Below are 21,814 nucleotides of genomic sequence, written 5' to 3' on the forward strand. Positions count from 1 at the left end.
ATCATAGTTCACTGCAGCCTCCAACTCCTGGGCTCAAGTGACCCTCCTGCCTCAGCATCCTGAGTAGCTAGGACTATAGGTACACATCACCACACCTGGCTAATTTTTTTTAAATGTTTAAAACATTTTTTAAAGATCCCATGAGATGGGATCTCACTTTGTTGCCCAGGCTGATCTGAAACTCGTGGCCTGAAGCCATCCTCCCACATTGGCCTCCCAAAGTTTTGGGATTACAGGCTTGAGCCACTGAGCCCTGGCCCAAAGGGAACTAATTTAAATGCATCAAATATAGAATTACAGGGCCTATAGGGTCTTCCTATAGGCCTTTATAGATACATTTTTAAACTTTAATAGCTTGGGTTGCATGTCTGATAGAAACCATTTTGAAAATAGCATAAATGCTGGTGAGAGGTTCTGACATCTCAGCTTACCCTGTCATAATTGGTTTTTGCTAATCATAGGATTTAGGATCAGAAGATACTGTATATTTGCATAACAGTGCCTCCAAACATTTATAATATTGCTTTACATTCAATTTACAGTTTTTATTATACTTAAATACAACCTCATTAAAGTTTAAAAGTACATAAGCCTTTTATGAAGACCTCGCACATTGATAATCTTATTAAGTTTCCCCTATATTTTTTGGGAAGAGGACCTCTGCATTCTAAAACTTATTTTCTTTTATTTTTGGCGGTTCTGAAGACTGCATGGTATTAAGAGACCATAGGGTTAACTATATTGCTTATTTCTGTTAAATTTTGCTCCTGTTGGTTTGGGACATATACTTAGATTTCTGTGAAGTGAGATCACAGCATGGAATTTTGTGCTCCAGACCTAAAGGGCAACTGTTGCACATGGATTCCTGTTTGTGAGAAAGAGATGGTAAGAAGAATCACAGAGAGCATCACGGAGTGATGAATTAATAAATAACTTGCTCAGTGAATGTACCACTTGAAAAATCCTTCTGCCATGACTATAAAGCTAAAATGTTTGCAATTTGAAAATCAGTTTGTATGGTCCCCTAAACTAAGTGAGCCTTGGCCCACAATTTGAATGCAGAATAACTGAAATTTCCCTGTATTGTTGTTTACTTGCAAATTTCGTAGGTATTTCTGTTCATTTGGTTTTGAGCTGGAATATTTGTTATTGTTGTTTATCTTTCCTTTCACAGAAATGAGTCACAGGTCATCAGATTTTGCCAAGATTATTAACAATACAGAGAATCTTGTGCGGGAATTGCTGTAAGTTTTAAAAAGACCAAATCATGTTACTTTTGTTAGATACTTCCTAAATCTGGATGTCTTCCAGTATTTTCTACACTCTATTGTTTGTTCAGAATATTTCATAATTTAAAATAATCCTTGTAAGATTCTCTCCAATTCACTATTAGTACCTAACGCTTTTTATTTGTTCCCCATCCCGTGTTTATATGTTTTTGTTTTTATTTTATGTGATATTTCCAAAGATTTGAAATCATTGTATCTAGGAATGATTTTTCAGCACTGTGGCAGTTAAACTGGTGTGAAAGAGATGTAAATGACACAGAAATGGTCATCTTTGTCAGCATAATTGACTATAAACTAGTTCAGGTGTTCTCGAAGTTTGAGTCTCATACGATCTGTCAGAGTCACCTGGTTAGGGGGAATATTAAAAAATTCAAGTGGGGCCGGGCAAGGTGGCTCATGCCTGTAATCCCAGCACTTTGGGAGGCCGAGGCGGGTGGATCGTGAGATCAGGAGATCAAGACCATGCTGGCTACCACGGTGAAACCCCATCTACTAAAAATACAAAAAAAGAAAAAATTAGCTGGGCATGGTGGCGCATACCTGTATTCCCAGCTATTCGGGAGGCTGAGGCAGGAGAATCGCTTGAACCAGGGAGGCGGAGTTTGCAGTGAGCCGAGACCGTGCCACTGCATTCCAGCTTAGGTGACAAAGCGAGACTCCGTCTCAAAAAAAAAAAAAAAAAAAAAAAAAAAATCAAGTGGTGGGCACCACTTAGTCCTGCTGAATCAGAATCTCTGGAGAGACTTTATTTTTAACAGGCTCTTTGGGTAATTGTAAGAGTTCTGAACTGTAGGAACTACTGCTTAGACGAAATCTCCTGGGTTATCTGTACTGCCTTTCCTATCCAGAGAATCCCTTATTCTTAAATAGATTGCTATTTAAAGGAGAGATTTTTATATATTATATAAACATGTTCACATAAACCTACGAATATAGCAAGTTTGAAAGCATACCATTTTTTTTCCTGCTCACAGAAATAATGCACATTTATGGTAGGAAAAACACTGTAGCTCACAACTAAACTGAAATTAACTTTAACCCCACTAATCAGGGATAATCACTAATATGTTAGGACCCATTCTTGCATTATTACATTAACAAAATTGGAATTATACTGATTATTTCAAGTTTTCTTTTTCAAATTGCTTGATAAAATGATTCAGATGGGGCAGGCTTGGTGATATTTCTGTGAGGAGCTGTAGACGCTAATTGCAATGTGAATGTTCAGAGCTGGTAGCCATCTGCTTGGCTTCTCTCGTCCATTGGCCTGCTGAGTATCATGTCACATTCATAGGACAATCCTGTCCTTCATGGAGTGGGTATTTGGAACATCAGCCTGGGAGAGATGACATTTGACCACATGGCTATGAACTTCCTCTGACTGGGGTCCCAGTTCAATTTAAGGGCCTATCTTTTCTTCTCCTAACCTGGTTCCCACCTTGTATACCTGTACCTAGACCTCGGCCTGGTTTCTTTCCATCTAATTCTTGGCCTTGTTAACTGCCCTGCATCTGAATAATGTGAACCTGGAACTCTGTCTTGGGTTATCAGTCTTCCCAGCTGCTAAGAACCTCATGGCCAGAGTCTCCTAAGACCTGCTGGTTGCTTGCTATCCTACTAAGCACTGAATATAGGCCATACATCTTTCAGGACAAGATATTTACACTCCTACCACCCCATTCCCCAAGACCCTGCCACATTGCCCTGCCCTTTATTAATTTACCTCTGTATCTTTGCTGGAGCTCTGTTCCCTGGCCATCTGGCTTCCGTACACCTATTCCCAGGCTCTGACCTTACTCAGTGGCTTGGGTCCAGTTTCCATGGCCTTGTCCTTTTGGAGCTGGGCTTATTTCTACTGCCTGTAGCCATTCTCATCATTATCTTACTTTTTCATCCTGGAGTCAAAGAATTTTGCTTTTTATTTTGATGTATAATAGATACATGATTTCATGGGTAGGCCTAAAACATTATCGAAACCCCCTGCCCAACATCCACCTGGTTCATAGCATGTTGCATAACACAGGATTATTGGTTGCAAGTTATAGGACCCCCAACTCACTGGCTTAAGTAAAAAAGAAATGTATTATCTCACCTAACAGATAAATGCAGGAGAATTTAGGTGCTTCTAAATGACTGCAGGAAGGTGATTTTCCCCCATCTTCTGGCTCTGCTTTCTTATGTGTTCTCTTCATTGGGTGGCCACCATTGGTTGCAGGATTAGCTCCTACAAGTTTCTTCTTTCCCTCAATAGAAACAGCTTTCCTTACCTAGAAGTTTGAGTAAAGGTCTCAGTACCAAATTCCATTGGCCAGCCTGGGGCAGGTACTCATCCCCTTGAGCCAGGGTTGACCACAGTTGAACCATGTCGACTGAGAGTGGCAGAGGGGTAATTTCCTAAAGGAACATCAGGCTGTTGTCACTAAGAAGAGGAGGAAGAGCTTCAGGTCAAACAGTAACCCTAGGCTTTCAACACAGTCTCCAGTAAATAGTTGTCCAAGGATTGCATAAATAAATGAGTGAATTAGGGAAGACAAAGTAGTATTGTAACATTACCATATTTCTTGTAGTAAATCCACCCAAGTTAAAGCACTTGGTAGAGCATCACTTGTTCTCAATCTTTGACCACATGAGTTTATGTATTGACTGTTACCTATGCTTCTGCCCAGAGCTGTTCCAGACAACTATAAGGTGATTTTTCTGCAAGGAGGTGGGTGCGGCCAGTTCAGTGCTGTCCCCTTAAACCTCATTGGCTTGAAAGCAGGAAGGTGTGCTGACTATGTGGTGACAGGAGCTTGGTCAGCTAAGGCCGCAGAAGAAGCCAAGAAGTTTGGGACTATAAATATCGTTCACCCTAAACTTGGGAGTTATACAAGTAAGTTCTGGGAGCTGAGCTGGGTGGTGACGTGCTCAATGGTGGGTTACCCCGACCCAGGGCAATCTGTAGTTTTCAATTATTTTCTCCCCTTGACAGTGTTAGTTCATTACCATTTAGATTGGGTGGCTGTACTAGCTAAGACTAGAGCCTATGCATACTCTTACTTTATTTTATTTTCTATTTTTTTTCTAGACAGAGTTTTGCTTTGTCACCCAGGCTGGAGTGCAGTGGTGCAATCTCAGCTCACTGCAACCTCCGCCTCCCAGGTTCAGGCGATTCTCCTGCCTCAGCCTCCCAAGTAGCTGGGATTACAGGTGCTGGCCACCACGCCTGGCTAATTTTTGTATTTTTAGTAGAGACAGAGTTTAACCATGTTGGCCAGGCTGCTTTTGAACTCCTGACCTCAGGTGATCCGCCTGCCTCGGCCTCCCAGAGTGCTGGGATTACAGGCGTGAGCCACTGTGCCTGGCCTATGCATACTCTTCTTGCAGAAGCTAGTCAGTAGTTAGTAGTAGTTTTTCAGCTAATTAGCTGAAAAAGTCCAGGGGCTGGTTTGGCTTTAGATATGGCTTGATCAGGGGCCCCAACAATGTCTCCAGGACCTGGTGGCTCCACAGGCAGAAAAAGCTGTCCCTTTCTTGAAAGGTGGCTGCAGCTGCTCCTGACCTTATATTCTCCCAAGTTTCAATGCCTTTATGGAGCATTCCCAGTAACGGTCTCATGTCCTGTGCCCCATTCTGAATCAGTCCCTGTGGCCATGCCTGAGTTGCATTCTACCTCTGGGCTGTAGGTTTCATTGGCTCCCCTGGAACTACGTGGGCTGAGAGTAGGTGAGGGCTGGGGTTCCAAGAAGAAACTACTAGTCCATCAATGGATGTAGGATAGATGGATACTGGGCGACAAGTAAAAACTCAGATATCTCCCATGCCTTTTGAAAAAATTTACTTTATTTTATTTTGTTGAGACAGAGTCTTTCTGTGTTGCCCGGGTTGGAGTACAGTGGCTCTTCACAGGCAGGATCATAGCACACTGTAGCCTCCAGCTCCTGGGCTCAAGTGATCCTCCCACCTTAGCCTCCTAAATATCTGGGACTATGGGCACATACCACCATGCCCACCTTCCCATGCCATTTTTGAAGATGATTTGTTCCCAGTAAAAGTCGAAAGGTTGGATCGCTCATCCTCTCAGGATGTTGATAACGATGGTAACAAAGGATGAGGCTGGGAGGTTGCTTTCACTCGTGCAATGCTTTGGAGTCAGTTAGTCTTTCCCTGCTAGGGGAGGCCTGTCAGTCTCCTGGTTGACTCCCATCTATGTAAGGAAAGAGGAGAGTGAAAAGTGCAAAGTCTCAAACTTGTCTTCTGTGATAGAAATTCCAGATCCAAGCACCTGGAACCTCAACCCAGATGCCTCCTACGTGTATTATTGCGCAAATGAGACGGTGCATGGTGTGGAGTTTGACTTTATACCCGATGTCAAGGGAGCAGTACTGGTTTGTGACATGTCCTCAAACTTCCTGTCCAAGCCAGTGGATGTTTCCAAGGTAGAGTATAAAAGGCAGGGTGAGGGGAACCCACTGACTCGGTGTCTGCAGGGACATTTTAATATATACAAGAGCGGGAAGAACCATGGGTGTTTGAGGCCTGCAGAACCCCTGAGCCAGTGCAGCTGCCAGTGAGCAGGCTGCCAGGTGCGAATTCCCAGCTGTTGCAGTGCCTGAGTCCTGCTGTTCCCAGCCTCGTGGTGATGTTTGCCTCACAGGGTCCCACTCGAGTCCTTGGGGAACTACCTGCTTTTGAGAGTGGTTCTTAGAAACGTGTTTGGTCAACAGACGGGGAGAGACTTGTCTTCAAGAGCAGATGCAGATTATCCCGAGCCCAGGGGACCTATGTGAGGGAGCTTCCCCTTGCCTGGTACCCACCTCCAAAAGCATCAACAGGATACCGTTTTATGAGTGGCTTGCCAAGGCAGGGCAGTGGGACTGGCGCTGTAGGTACATGCCCCAGGGTGCGATGCGGGTAGAGAATCTAAGAACAACAGTTGAACTGACTGAGTGGTATTCTGCCTTTTTAATTGGGATAAAATATAACAAATTTTACCATTTAATATAAAATATACCATTTTAACCATTTTTAAATATACTGGTCAGTGGCATTGAGAGCATTCACATTGTTGTGCAGGCATCACCACCATCCATCTCCAGAACTTTTACATCTTCTCAGATGAAATCTGTACATTAAACACTAACTCCCTCTCTCCCCACCGTCCAGCCCCTGGCAGCCTCCATTCTAGTTTCTGTCTCTGTGAATTTGACTACTCTAGGTATCTCCTAGAAGTGAATCATGTACTATTTGTCCTTTTGTGTCTGGCTTATTGCACTTAGCAGAATGTCTTCAAGGTTCTATTGCACTTAGCAGAATGTCTTCAAGGTTCGTCCATGTTGTACTGTGTGTCAGAGCTTCCTTTCTTTTTAAAGGCTGAATAATAATTGTTTAGATATACTGTATTTGGTTTATGGTCTGCTTTTTATTATCACCAGGCACTGGCAATTTTAAATAACTATAAATTACTTTCCCCCACCCCCAACTTCCTGCCAACGCTCAATTTTCCTAAGGGTTTCATGGAGAGAGGCATGGGAGAGGGTTCTGTATCTTGCACAACAGAATTACCTAAAGTACCTTTAAGCCTCTGTTTTCTATAATTTCTTCTCCCTCAGGCAGCTTGTCCCATCCCTTCTCTTTGTCATAACAGTCCCTTTCTCAGCACCTTCTGACTGTTCTTTTATACAAATGTAAATAGATTAAAAAATCTGTTTTGGCCAGGCGCAGTGGCTCAGGCCTGTAATCCCAGCACTTTGGGAGGCCGAGGAGGGTGGATCATGAGATCAGGAGTTCAAGACCAGCCTGGCCAACATGGTGAAACCCCGTCTTTACTAAAAATACAAAAATTCACTGGGCATGGTGGCACACGCTGTAATCCCAGCTACTCGGCAGGCTGAGGCAGGAAAATTGCTTGAACCCGGGAGGCAGAGGTTGCAGTGAGCCGAGATTGCGCCACTGCACTCCAGCCTGGGTGCCAGAGCAAGACTCCGTCTCAAAAGAAAAAAAAAATGTTTCTTCTCTTGGTAACCAGGGAGAGTTAGAGGCCCCACGTTAAAGACTCCTTTCTACTTTGGGGGTAGAAAGGAGGTGTGCAGAGCGAATGTGAATATGTGCCAGGACTTTGCAGTGATGGGCTTGGGTTAGCCCCATCCAGGTGAGGACCAGGCTGACGGATCATCCTCAGGCTTTGGAACTCTGAGTATGGGTTTGCTGTCCACATGGAGATTGCTTTAGAGCATGAACTGCTCCCTACACAGGATAGAGTCATTTCCTTAAAAAAATTGTGCTTCGGGAAGAGTTGGGAAGTTTGCATACATGTATGAAAAATGGCCAAATCCTTCTTAAGCAGCATGTCTTTCTCTTTTTAAGTTTGGTGTGATTTTTGCTGGTGCCCAGAAGAATGTTGGCTCTGCTGGGGTCACCGTGGTGATTGTCCGTGATGACCTGCTGGGGTTTGCCCTCCGAGAGTGCCCCTCGGTCCTGGAATACAAGGTGCAGGCTGGAAACAGCTCCTTGTACAACACGCCTCCATGTTTCAGGTAACTCTGGGAGTCAGTCTTGTGGACCCAGGGAGGGGTCTCACTATTTTTCATCAAAGCGGAGGTTACATTTTAAAATAAAACATGTAAGCCTGGGCGCGGTGGCTCACACCTGTAATCTTAGCAATTTGGGAGGCTGAGGTGGATGGACCACTTGAGGTCAGGAGCTAGAGACTAGCCTGACCAACATGGTGAAACCCTGTCTTTACCAAAAATACAAAATTATCCAGGCGTGGTGGCACATGCCTATAATCCCAGCTACTAAGGAGGCTGAGGCAGGAGAATCTCTTGAACCGGGGAGGTGGAGATTGCAGTGAGCCGAGATGGCACCATTGCACTCCAGCCTGGGTGACAGAGGGAGACTCCATCTCAAAATAAATAAATAAATAAGCAAACAAACAAACAAATAATAAGTAAAATAAAGTAAAGCATGTTTCCAGGAGCCGGTGATCAAATGCCCCAGATATCCTATCAGATTCTCTGCCCAGCTCACCTCTCCCTCTGCACCATCTCTTTACCATTTGATCAGCTTTTCCTCTTGTTCTTTTCTGGGGATGTTGTTTTTTGTTTGGTCTTGGTAATCCAGGATCCGGTGGTTCACCATTAACCCAAAAGCTCTCTATACATGAGGTGCTGTGGCCTGCATCTCAAACAGCCAGTGCAGCTTTGGAGAAGAACTTTCAAAAGCTGGGCCTCCCCTGCCTTCATTTCTTTCTCTGTCGGGCCTGCGGGAAGCTGGCTGCCTGACAGAACATACTGGCTTAAATACCTTTCTGGGTTTTGTTGTTGTTGTTTTTTGAGACGGAGTCTCGCTCTGTTGCCAGCCTGGAGTGCAGTGGCATGATCTCGGCTCACTGCAACCTCCACCTCCCAGGTTCAAGCGATTCTCCTGCCTCAGCCTCCCGAGTAGCTGGGATTACAGGTGCGTGCCACTACGCCCAGCTAATTTTTGTATTTTTAGTAGAGATGGAGTTTCACCATGTTGGTCAGGCTGCTCTTGAACTCCTGACCTCAGGTTATCCGCCGGCTTTGGCCTTCTAAAGCGTTGGGATTACAGGCATGAGCCACCACAACCGGCCAACATCTTTCTGTATTTTAGCCTAATCTGAAGGGGTCCTTTTAGCCTGGCTCTCATTCGCTGACTGGGGGCTGCGTTGCAGCACTTCAGGAAGAGCAGGGTTGCCCTGCCTCAGGATCCTATAACTCCCAAACTTGGGTATTTTGAGAAAATCTTCATGGCTCTTAAGATTTACAATTGCCTAAGAGAGTCTAGTATTTACTAGCTGTGTGACCTTAGGCAAGTCACTTAACATGTCTGTGTGGTAGGTTCTAGAAGTAATAATAGTACCCCTTTCACTGGGTTGCTGTGAAGATTAACATACATATAAATAAATCTGTGTATATATATAAAAATTTTAAATTTTGCACTGAGTACCTGGCACTTGGTGATTGATAAATATTAGCTGCTATGTTGTTATTGTTATTGTGAGTTCTCAGAGCCTCAGCAGGAGCAGACACAAGGGAAGAGCTGGAGTTTGTAGATTTATCTTTCTAGGGCCACTATGATGCAGAATGGTGATGCTTTATGTGTATGACCGTTTAATCCTCCCAACTACCCTAGTAGGTAGCCAGTGTTATGATCATGATTCCCATTTTGCAAGTGAGGAAGCCGAGGTCATATTTTAGGAAGTGGCCTGGCTGGGGTGTGAACCCAGGCCATCTGACTCTAGATCCTGGGTATGTACATTCTGCCATTAGTGCTCTCTCTTCACCAGCAAAAGGATGAGTGTGGATTTGCGTGTGTTTGCAGGATTCTGCCTTAGGAGAATAGTTCACTGTTGGAGTCCAGCTCTTCTCTCAACAGGATTTTCTTGTCTTGGTGGAAGTTCTCTTAAAGGAGCGTAGGAAAGAGGGGGCTCAGGCTGGTGCAGTTAGTGGTTCCATCTGGGCCAGGATTTTGTCAGAGCTTCCCCTCCTCCAGGTGCTGCTTAGGGAAAATGTCTTCTACATAATTTACTATGGAAAGGAAAGAATTTTTTTTTTTTTTGACAGAATCTTGCTCTGTTGCCCAGGCTGGAGTGCAGTGGCGTGATCTCAGCTCGCTGCAACCTCCGCCTCCCGGGTTCAAGCAATTCTGTCTCAGCCTCCCGAGTAGCTGGGAGTACAGACGCCTGCCACCATGCCTGGCTACTTTTCGTATTTTTAGTAGAGACGGGGTTCCACCATGTTGGCCAGGCTGCTCTCAAACTCCTGACCTCAGGTGATCCACCTGCCTCGGCCTCCCAGAGTGTTGGGATTACAGGCGTGAGCCACCGCCGGAATTTTTTTCAATGTTAGAATTCTGGTGAAAATTCTGCTGGGTTTCTGCTTGGTCACACGATGCAGAGCAGCAGCTCCTCACATTGTGTCTCCCACTTTCCTCAGGGGAGTGTTCTGGGATGCACTCTCCTGGTCACCTCTAAACCCTACTGTCTTTTACCTTGGTTGAAATGTTTCTAAAATGCATGGTAGGGATGGGAGTGGGGCTGAGTCTTACCTCCCACTCGCCTGTCTTACCTCTGGGGAAGCACCAGTGGTCACTGGCCAACTGGGACACAAGAACTGGGCAGGCTGAGCGGTGAGGGTGCAGCTGGGGACCTCAAGTGCTGGCCTCCGGGGGAAGGGGCCGAGATGTCAGGCTGCACATGGCAGGTAGAGGTACAGGAGGCTGTCCTTACCTGTTTGGAGATGGGGCCAGGGCCTGCCTTGCAGCTAGAGGAGGCTTTCAGAGGAGCCCAAGACCATCACCCATTTCAGAAGTGAGAAGGTGGGAGGGGGCAGGGAAAGAGTGCTGTTCCTGAACTGTCCCACAGCCTGTAGGCCAGCAAGTTGCGATCAGGGTACAGCTTGGGGCAGGGCAGACAGTCACTCTCTGGTACCTTCTTCAAGGGTTACCTTGAAGAGCATTTTTTTAAAAAGGAATGAACACGGCCGGGTGCGGTGGCTCACACCTGTAATCCCAGCACTTTGGGAGGCCGAGGCGAGTGGATCACAAGGTCAGGAAATCGAGACCAGCCAGACCAACATGGTGAAACCCCGTCTCTACTAAAAATACAAGAATTAGCCAGGCATGGTGGCGGGTGCCTGTAGTCCCAGCTACTCAGGAGGCTGAGGCAGGAGAATCCCTTGAACCTGGGAGGCAGAGGTTGCAGTGAGCCGAAATCACGCCAGTGCACTCCAGCCTGGGTGACAGAGTGAGACTGTCTGAAAACAAAAACAAAAACAAAAACAAAAACAAAACAAAAACCATGCAAGGTTAGAAAATCATTGCTCACCCAATGAGAACAAGCTGCAAATGGAGACATCAAGATGTGTGCAAAATCCCCTCCCCAGTCCGTGATGTGAGGCTGATGGGGTACCTGGAGCCCTTCAGAACTTTGTATCACATAGTAGAGTTCTTGAAAAGGCCTCACTTTTGAAAAGACGCCTTTTTTTTTTTTTCCCCACAGAGTCTAATGACCATAGGCCCTGGGAACTTTGATTTAATTGTGCTGGATAAAACTGCCTTCAAATCGTTGCTCCGTAGCCCTGAGTGATGAACTAGAGTGGAATAAAGAACACACTGCTGTTCTCTTTAACCCTTCAGTAGAACACACTAACCCCAATTAGTGCATAGAGAAAAAGATCCCTAAACTTCCCTTCTGACTGCACAAAATATTTTTTACTTACCATGACTAACTGAATACACAAGCATACGTTTGTTTTAGCTGCAGTATGAGGTGAAGTAACTAATAAAAATACAAAACAAATAGACCATTAATCTTAGGCCACCTGTTAAAAGAATGAGAACAGGCCAGGCGCAGTGGCTCATGTCTGTAATCCCAGCACTTTGGGAGGTCGAGGCAGGTGGATCACCTGAGGTCGGGAGTTCGAGACCACCCTGACCAACATGGACAAACCCCGTCTCTACTAAAAATACAAAAATTAGCCAGGCATGGTGGCACATGCCTGTAATCCAAGCTACTCGGGAGGCTGAAGCAGGAGAATCACTTGAATCCAGGGGGCAGAAGTTGCAGTGAGCCAAGATTGTGCCATTGCACTCCAGCCTGGGCAATAAGAGCAAAACTCCATCTCAAAAATAATAATAATAATAAATAAATAAAAGAATGGGAGCATGCAAATTAAGTTTGTGGGCCTGTTTGGAAGGCTTCACTGGTCCCAGACTACCTTCTCCCAGTGGGATGGGGATGCCTGGAATCCTGGAATTCACAGAGGGGTGTGTAGTGGAGCCAGTTTTGGGAGCTTTCCTCTGGGAAAAGTGCTCAACTCAGTGGCTACATTCACCGATTCCTGAGAAAACTGTGCCATAACATCAACTTCAGAACCTCATCTGCAGAGCTGGAGTCTTAGAACAGCCAGGGAGAGTTTTCCAGGGGACTTTCTGGTGTCCTTTTCTAAGCCCTGGTGCACAGGGACTATTTTGTATTGCTTTAAAAAATTTATAACAGTGATATACTCTTAGGCTGGGTGTGGTGGCTCACGCCTGTAATCCCAGCACTTCAGGAGGCCAAGGCGGGCAGATCACCTGAGGTCAGGAGTTCGAGACCAGCCTGGCCAACATGGTGAAACCCTGTCTCTACTAAAAATACAAAAATTACCCGGGCGTAGTGGCGTGCACCTGTAATCCCAGCTACTCTGGAAGCTGAGGCGGGAGATCACTTGAACCTGGGAGGCGGAAGTTGCAGTGAGCTGAGATCGTGCCACTGCACTCCAGCCGGGGTGACAGCAAAACTCTGCCTCAAAAAACAAACAAAGAAACAAAGAAACAAACAGTAACATACTCTTAGCAAAGACTTGCAGGTGGGCAGAGTCACCAGGGTAGCCACTGTTCACTGCTTGCTTTGTATCCTAACAGACTCTTAACTGGGCATATGCAAATATACAGAGTCATATATTTAATCATGCAAATGGAACTTGAACTTTACCATACAAATTGTTCTGTGAATTCTATTTTTCCACTCCACAATATACCATGGGCATTCTGCTATGTCAGCTCAAATGCCTATTTTTATTTTTTACTTTTAAATTTTATTTTTGTTAGAGACAGGGTCTTGCTCTGTTGTGCAGGCTGGAGTGCAGCAGTGTGATGATAGCTCTCAGAAACCGCAAACTCGTAGGCTCAAGTGATCCTCCCACCTCAGCCTCCTAAGTAGCTAGGACTACAGGCAAGTGCCACCATGCCTGGCTACATTAAAAAAAAAATTTATGGCGACAGGGTCTCAATATGTTGTCCAGGCTGGTCTCAAACTCCTGGCCTCAAGCTGTCCTCCCACACTGGCCGTCCAAAGTGTTGGGATTACAGGCATGAGCCACCACACCTGGCCCTTTTTTGTTTTAAAATATATATGGTGTCCTGTAGAATGGACATACCTCGATTTATTTAATCATTTAATAGGCAGAGTTAGGAACCCTATCCTGTGTGTTTGCAGGTGGCATTTTAGAAATGAAGGCATAAGTCTTAAAAATGTCACACTGGTAGTGGGAAGAATTGAGACCACTCTATAAGCTGTGTAAGCGTTTTAGAGCCCTTGTGTTTTCAAGATTTTAGACGGTATGGGAGTTGAAACATGAGTTAATAAAGAACTGGAAGCCACGAGGGTCCTGTGTTAAGTAGAGCCACAGGGGCTAGACATCAGTGCTCTGCAGAGGGCTGGGTGGGAGGGGAGGCAGGACCTCCTATCCTGTGTTAAGTAGAGTCACAGGGGCTAGACATCAGTGCTCTGCAGAGGGCTGGGTGGGAGGGGAGGCAGGACCTCTTATCCTGTGTTAAGTAGAGCCACAGGGGCTAGACATCAGTGCTCTGCAGAGGGCTGGGTGGGAGGGGAGGCAGGACCTCCTATCTTGTGTTAAGTAGAGTCACAGGGGCTAGACATCAGTGCTCTGCAGAGGGCTGGGTGGGAGGGGAGGCAGGACCTCCTATCCCAGGGATGTCTTCAGTCTTCAGGACAGCTTGCTTGCTTCTGAGTTGTCTGCCTCTTGTTTAGGCTTCATAGAGCCAAGTTATGGGTGCTGGCTCCAGGCAGCCCCTAAAAGTGGGTGAGCTTTCTGCTGGCCTTGCCTCCTCAGATCCCATTAAGAAAGCCAGAGATCATGGGCGGCGAGTGTGAGCACAGCAGTCAGCTAGGGGTTCAGGCGTCGGTACTGAGGTCTGGCTAGGACGGTGGACCTGACATGGGCCTTGCTGCACTTTGGATTTAGACAAACCAAATCCACAGTGCAGCAAGGGCCCATGTCAGCTTTGAAACCCTGGGCTAACACAGAGCTTCAGGCAAAAGGGAAGCTTGGTCACCTGGAAGTATTGTTGGTGACCTGGGCTCTGCTTGGATTCAATCACATGGCAGGGTGTGTTTCTGTGGTTCTGTGTGGAGGTGGGGGGTGAACAGGCTGCAGGTGTGGGAGAGGAGCAGTTGGAAGTGAAGTGGGAATTGCAGAGCATCTGATGAACAGAGGGCTGGGCAGCCTCGTGTCTGGAATGCACACCCACGTGCATGTGTGCTGTGTGCTGGACTTGGCCACTGTCACTGGTGTGTGGTGATAGCTCTGCAGTCCCACTCGCAGGGGAGCTAGTGGCTGGAGCCCTGCAGCCCCTGGCAAAGCAGAGGGCCTGCATACTTGTGGGAAGAGCTTGCATTCTTGGAGTCAGACAGGCTAGAGTTGGAGTCCTGGCTTTAAGCTGCTTGCCAGATGACTTGAGGCAAAGTTAACCTCTCTGAGCCTCAGTTTCCTCATCTGGAAAATGGGATGACGGTGGCTCTAACCCGAGGATTATTGTGATCAATAAAGATAGGCTGAGGCCACAGTAGACTTCAGGAAGTACTCATTCCCTTCTCTTACTTTCTCTCTTCTGTCTCTTTTGTCCCTCTGACTTCTTGGACGTTAGCCAGAGAGCTACCGCTGAGGCTGTGGATATTCTCAGGGGCTGTTTCCTCTTCCTCCCTGCCTTCCCTTTCTGCCAGCAGCCACTCTTGCTCTTTCTTCCCAGTGCTGTCTGGGGAGGTAGGCTGGGGAAGCTTCAGGAGAGGTTGTTGGATGTTTGTGGCTGCTGGCTGCTCCCTGCCTAAGGCCCCTCTGGGCAGCCCGGTGTTGGCTTTTGCCAACATGAGCTGGCATGAGCCACTGCACCCAGGCCTTGGGTCCCACTTGAGACAGTGAATGAGCCAGTTGGTATAGGGGGCTTCCCTGTGACAAGCTGCTGGCTGTTAGAGCATTTTCCAGACCCCATAATGTCCCCTCCTGTTAATAAAGGAGGAAGCAGCTGGGTATCCCCACCCTAGATCTTAGCTGAGCATTGACTCCCAGTAAATTTTTGCACAATTCCCATAGGGGATCTTTGATTCACACCTCTGGAGAGGGCATAGTTGGCAGCTGACCTCCAGACTCCCAGCTCAAGGGAGATGGTGTCTTCCCTGGGCGACCTCTCCTCCTGTGCCCTGAGCTTTTACTGAGTACACGTGGAGCCTTTAGCACCTTCTTAAGGAGAGGGGTTTTCAGACTGGGGAAAACCATGCACCGCTCCTCAGTGTTTCATATTTTCAGCTTAAGTTTGAAGGGACTACTGACTGCCATTTGTGTGGCCCACCTGCCACGTGCCAGGCCCTGTGCTAAGCGTTGGTCTGGCAGGAAGAAGTTGAAATACTTGGTTCAGAAAGGGATGGTCCTGAGCTGCGGGAAGGGCCCAGGTGCAGCTGGACTTCCTGGAACCAGGGACACAAATCCTCCTCCATCTGCTCTCCACTTCTGATCCTGGCTTCTCTCAGCGGGAATGTTGGCTTCATTTTCAGATGGGCCTTCTTCAGATGTTTCCTAGAAACATGATCCCCTAGGGCTCTCATCTCCTGTCTCACAGTTGCACTAATATTCTGCCGCTTTTTCTGCTCTCCCCACTCTTTCTCCCCACACCCAATTCAGAAAATCTCAGGGAAGGCCCTGATTGGCCCAGTTAGGTCCTATGCCGAACTCTGAGACCAGGGAGCCAAGGGGCCTTGCTGGACCTGCATACTGGCTGGAGGGTGGAGTTGGGAAGAGCAGGGTGGATAAAATGCCAGGTGTCCACCACAGGTAGGTGGATCTCCCGGTTCCAGATGGGAAAACCGAGGTGACTAATTCTGGGTAGTCTGTTAGTGAGTGGCTGCCCTACAATGGGAGTCAGGACTGGGAGGGGGAGCCCGTCCTTTTAACCCCTCGGCCACAGTGCTCTCTGCTGGCTGGAAGGCACTGTGCTAAGGATGTGGGTAGAAAAGATGAACAGCGTGGGCTTCTAGCCTTCCAAGACCACAGAGGCCAAACAACAGGCACACAGAAACTTAAAAGAGCAAGTGGAAAAAAACTATGCAGGTAATATGGGCAAGGCGCTCTGGGAGTTCAGGAAGTGAAGAGCTCGCTCTGGGTAGGGGTGGGATTGGGGTCTGCTGATGCCTTCTGGTGGAGATAAGGAAGTGTGTTCTGGCTCTCAAGAAGAGTTTACATTAGGGCTTAAGCTGGACAAGGAGGGACTGATATGATGTTTAGTGAAAAATCTGATTAAACCTTTTTCTGAATGGCCCTCAGGGATCTAGAATTGGGTTGACCCTAGTCCTTGCTTGATGACATGCTCTTGTTCACATGGGCCCTGCTTTTGTCTTGTGTATTTTCTTTCTTTATTTTTTTTGGAGACAGGATCTCGCTCTGTCACCCAGGCTAGAGTGCATTGGTGTGATCATAGCTCACTGCAGCCTCGAACCCCTGGGCTCAAGCATTCCTCCCTGCTCTGCCTCCCAAGTAGCTGGGACTATAGGCACATGCTATCACACCCAACTAATTTTTCAATTTTTATGGAGACGGGTCTTGCTATGTTGCCTAGGCTGCTTTCCAACTCCTGGCTTCAAGCGATCCTTCGGCCTCGGCCTTCCAAAGTGTTGGGATTACGGGCGTGAGCCACTGCATTTGACTATCTTGTCTATTTCAAATAATGTGTTTAAGTCTGTTTTAATGCACCTTCAACAGCAGTTTGCTTGAATATAGTTCTACTTTTGCAAAGATGAGCTAAACGGATTTTTTAAAAATCTTCATTTTAGCATCTACGTCATGGGCTTGGTTCTGGAGTGGATTAAAAACAATGGAGGTGCCGCGGCCATGGAGAAGCTTAGCTCCATCAAATCTCAAACAATTTATGAGATTATTGATAATTCTCAAGGATTCTACGTGTAAGTCAATGGATTTTATCTCCTATTTTGCCTCTTGTGAATTTAAAACTGTGTATATACTGTGTACCTTTGAAAAGTGGACATATTCACCTTTCTCTGAGACATTAAAATACTGGTGAGTGTGTGTGGTCCTGGGCCCCATGAGCAGGGGAGTGGGTGGTGAGTTCTTCCCTCCTGTACCTCACCCTGGGGCTCTCAGGCTTTGGGACCTGTGTCCCAGTGGGTGGTGATGTTTCTCACACCAAAGACATCGCCCTGGGGAAGAATCTCAGTTCACTCCCTGGGGTAGGTCCCGTCTACTCCCTCCTTTGTATATCTTCTGGGAAAAAAACAAATGTACTTTCTGAAATGTGTCAATTTAAGGACTCCTGTTAGCGATCTTTGGGACAAATACTCCTGTCCTCCTCTTCTGCGTTATTTCCCTTTTTAAGAAAATTCACTCCTTTCCTTATTATAAGACAGATGCTGTTATCCCAGAGTCTGTGAATGGAATTGGCTTTGGCATGGGCTGACTCCAGTTTAAATATTCCCATGAACAAATGATTAATGAGTATGTCTTAACCACTGCCCCTGCACCTGGGAATTCTGCAGAAAATGTCTGGGTCTTGTATTAGTTTCCTGGGGCTGGTGTAACAAAGTACTACAGACTTAGTGGCTCAAAACATCAGAAAACTGATTCTCACTCTTCTGGGGCCAGAAGTTCAAAATCAAAATGTCAGCAGGGTTTTGGTCCCTCCAGAGAGCCATGCCTTGCCTCCTTTAGATTCTAGTGGCTCAGGGTGGTCCTTGATTTGTGGCTGCATCACTCCAGCCTCCACATCTGTCTTCACATGGCCTTCTTTCTGCCGTGTCTTCCCTTCTGTCTCTTAAAAAGAGAGGTCTTTGGATTTAGGGCCTGTCCAGATAATCCAGGATCATCTCATCTCGAGATCCTTCACATAATGACATCTGCAAAGTCCTTTTTTTCCAAATAGGTCATATTCACAGATTCTGGGGGTTAGGACATGCGCATACCTTTTCAGGGTCACCATTCAATCCACAACAATAGGCCCTTCACCAAAATGCCAGATGGGAAGCACCTAGTGCGGTGCCTTGGATGCAGAGAAGTGTAACAGGTGGTATCTTCATTTGCTTTTCCCTTTCCCTTAAGGTGGTTACAGGTATACAAAGACCAGACTTCCTGCTGTGTACATGTATGTGCGCCTACACATATACATAAATGCTTAAACTCACCAAACTGAGAACCCCCTTCTTAGTGGCCATTGCTCTTTGGGGTTCAGTCTATAGTAACAAAAATATCTGCTTGATGGTAAGTTGGAAATTTGCCCTCTCTCAGATAATTCAGTGGCCACATGGGACCGACAAAACGATGCCTCTGTCCTAACTTAGGATTGTACTTTTTAGCCAAGACTTAACTAACACATCTCCATAACCACCCATGGGCGGGCAGTGCTGGTGTACTTTTTGGATGGCATGCTGCTGTCACCTTTGTTCTTGCAATGCTTGTTGCCTGTTTCTGTGAGCTCTTGACATGCAGTGGCCCTCCTCCAGCTGCAAGCCCAGGGGGAGTTAGGCTTGGCGGGATGCCTTGGCCTTTGGGCTCCTTTCCCAGGCACCATCTCAGGGAAGGGGTACACACTCTGCATTACTGCCTGTTCTCTGGTTCTGTGCAACAGAGAAGCAAGTGCAGGCTGGGGGCTCAGTGCTGGGGAAGCTTCCACACTAGACCTTGATGTGTGAGTTTGGAGGCCAGGATACCCTGCCTGTGCTCACTGAAGCCATTTAAAGTGCACGATCAGCAGTAGGTATCCAAAGATTTCATAGCCAAGGGCTAAAGAATGTGGCATGAGCCTGGAAAAGGGGGATACTCTTTGGTTGGAGTGAAGAGAGGGCTTTTGCATGAGCTTATTATGAGCCCTGGTCATGAGTGGAATTAGGCAGAGAAGAGGGCAGAAGTACTTTTAGAAAGGTTAGAATCATCCCCGCAAAGGCACTGAGGGAAGAGTGTACAGTGTGTTTGGGGAGCAGAACATGGGCTGCTTGAAGGGCATGGTTTATGCTGGGATTGGGAAGAAGGTCCGTGGAAGTGTGTGAGGGCGTGTTTAGTCCACCTATTTATTCATTCATTCATCTACTCACCCACCCATCCACCCACCTACCCATCTATCCATCCACTCATTCACTCATTCATTCATTCATCCATCTGTCTACCCATTCATCTATACATTCATCCACTCATCCACTCATCCATCCACCATTGACCCACCCATCCATCTATTCATCTACCACCTGCCTACCTATCCATCCATCTACCCACTCACTCATCCATCTATCCATCCATTACCCACCCATCCTTCCACCCACCTATTCACCCATCTACCCATTCACCCATCCACCCATCTATCCACCCGCCCATTCATTCACCCATCCACTCATCCAGACATCCATCTGTCCACCCATTCATCCATCCATCCATTCATCCATCCACTCACCTACCCATCCACTCATCCATCAATCTTCCATCCATCCATCTATCCATCCATCCATCCATCCATCTGCCCACCCATCCATCCATTCACCCACCCATCCACACACCCACCTATCTATCCATCTACCTACACACCCACCCATCCATCTATCCATCCATCACCCACCCATCTATTCATTCACCCTTCCACCTATCTACCCATCTATCTATCCATCCATCCATCCATCCACTCATTCATCCACCCGCCCACCCACTCATCTGTCCATTCACCCTTCCACCTATCCGCCCATCTATCTACCCACTTGTCCATCCATCCATCCATCCACTCATCCATTCTCCCACCCACCCATCCACCCACCCACCCATCCATCTATCCATCTGTCCATCCATCCAACCGTCCATCCATCCATAAAATGGCTCCTGAGGACCTGCTCTGTACACTAGCCTTGTTCTAGGCTCCTGGAAGACCGAGAAGAATAAATCATCTTCCCTGGCTCCCTAAAAAGTGCTGAGAACCTGAATGTGAGTAAAAGCACTTGGTGGGTATAGTGGACGGGAGACCAATTTTTCTATTAGCTTTTAGCTCTATACATTTCTCAGGAGATGTGTAGACATGATGTTAGAGGACAGAAAGAACGGTGATACCACTGGGAAAAAAATTAAGGGCATCAGGAACAAAATAAGAAAGCATAGAAGGAATTCTGGGACTCTCCTGAATCCCCCCCCGCCACGCCTAGGTCCTTTAACTCCAAGCACTAAACCTGGGCCTCTCCCAGAAGGCAGCCTGCCAAACTAATGTGGCAGGCAGGTCATCTCCTGGGCAGGTCATCTCCTGGGGAATCTGGTCATCCTTCACACCCAGAGCTCTTCACTCATTTCTGAACTGCCTTGACCCAGGACTTCCAGTCCTTTTAAGAATAAACCTCTTTCTAGGAACTCCCACCACCCCCTCAGTTGCCTGCCTGGAAAGCGTCATCCCAGGCACTTGGTGTTCTGTGGGACCTTGTTACTGGAGTAGAGAGGAGGCTGTACTCTGTCTCTCCTCTGTTTATAGCTGGAGACTCCCAGGCTGTGCCTGAACTCACTTAGATTTTCAGGAAATTCTTCTTTTCTTTGGAACTATGGAAATAGTTGAGCAACATGGCCCCATGGGAGGTGGCCACTTTTAAAGAGGAATACCTAGAATTAGAATTTGCAATTTACCACCACCTTTGCTCCTCATTTTTGTCTCTGAGAAGATGCACCCCCTCCCCACTTCCATGCCCCCTGACTCGTAAACCAGCTCCTTAACATAGTTCCAGGTTGTTTGCTGGGGGTTTCACCAGCCCTGCCAGTGACCTTGGCAGGGAATTCTGGGACTAGATAAGACAACCATCGAAGCCTCCAAGTTGATTCCATAGCCCAGTCACCCACACTGTGCTGACTGACCCCATGTTGAGCCCACGTGGGCCGTTTAGCACCTTGGGCTTAGAAGCCCCATTTTGCCACGGTGGTGCGTGTGACCTCGTGCAAATGACCTAACTGCTCTAAGCCACAGTTTTCTCATCTGTACAATGGAGGTAATGATACATACTTCTTAAAATTGTCAAGAGAATTAAAAGGAAATGCTTCTGAATCAAGAATATATAATATAAGGATTGAGAGCATTTTTACATTAAGGATTGAGGACTCTTGTGCTGGTTAATTTGTATAAAGTGCTAGAAACAGTGGTTGGCACACAGGAAGCATTCCTTGCATGTTAGCTCTTAATATCATTATTTGTGGTTATTGTTATATAAAGCAATTATGATATTCCTGACACACAGTGCTTATATAAGCTTATGTAATATAATTAATTATATAAGTATATAATATATATTAATTTTATTATATAAGGATGTCCAAGTGACAGATTCCATGTCTGGATCTGAGGTCACCTTTATCACCTTATGTGGGTACCAGGCCTTAGGAAAGAGAAGGAGGCACGTGATGGGTCTAGCGAAGACCCTAAAATAAAATGAAGCAGGCAGAGTCCTAGGCACCTTACACATGTGAATGCATTTTGTTGTCATCACAACCCTGTGAAGTAGACATTGAGCCTATGCAGCAGAAGCACAGATAGGACAAGGATGCAGCTGGAAAGTGGGACCAGCCAGGCTACGAACATGGGGGTGGAAGGCTCATTCCAGAACCTCTGCTGCTGTCTATGTCCAGGAGTGCAGAAGGCCTTAAACATACAACTCAAGCTATAAAGTAAAAGAATGACGTATTTAATTACATGAAAATTTTAAAATTTTATATGGCTTAAGACATCATAAACAG

At 46.6% G+C, this 21,814-nt stretch overlaps 1 protein-coding gene across 2 annotated transcripts in view; it reads left to right on the forward strand.

The window, feature by feature from the left end:
* The window catches only part of PSAT1 (phosphoserine aminotransferase 1), a 32,969-nt gene that overhangs the window by 3,655 nt on the left and 7,500 nt on the right, over nucleotides 1-21,814 (forward strand). For both annotated transcript variants that reach the window (NM_058179.4, NM_021154.5), the window contains exons 3-7: nucleotides 1,175-1,244; nucleotides 3,956-4,161; nucleotides 5,535-5,707; nucleotides 7,635-7,804; nucleotides 16,897-17,025. In NM_058179.4, coding sequence (NP_478059.1) covers nucleotides 1,175-1,244; nucleotides 3,956-4,161; nucleotides 5,535-5,707; nucleotides 7,635-7,804; nucleotides 16,897-17,025 — 748 coding nt within the window. The remainder of the gene's footprint in view (nucleotides 1-1,174; nucleotides 1,245-3,955; nucleotides 4,162-5,534; nucleotides 5,708-7,634; nucleotides 7,805-16,896; nucleotides 17,026-21,814) is intronic.

Source organism: Homo sapiens, chromosome 9 (assembly GCF_000001405.40).
Source record: "Homo sapiens chromosome 9, GRCh38.p14 Primary Assembly".
In the NCBI taxonomy this organism is placed as follows: domain Eukaryota; kingdom Metazoa; phylum Chordata; class Mammalia; order Primates; family Hominidae; genus Homo; species Homo sapiens.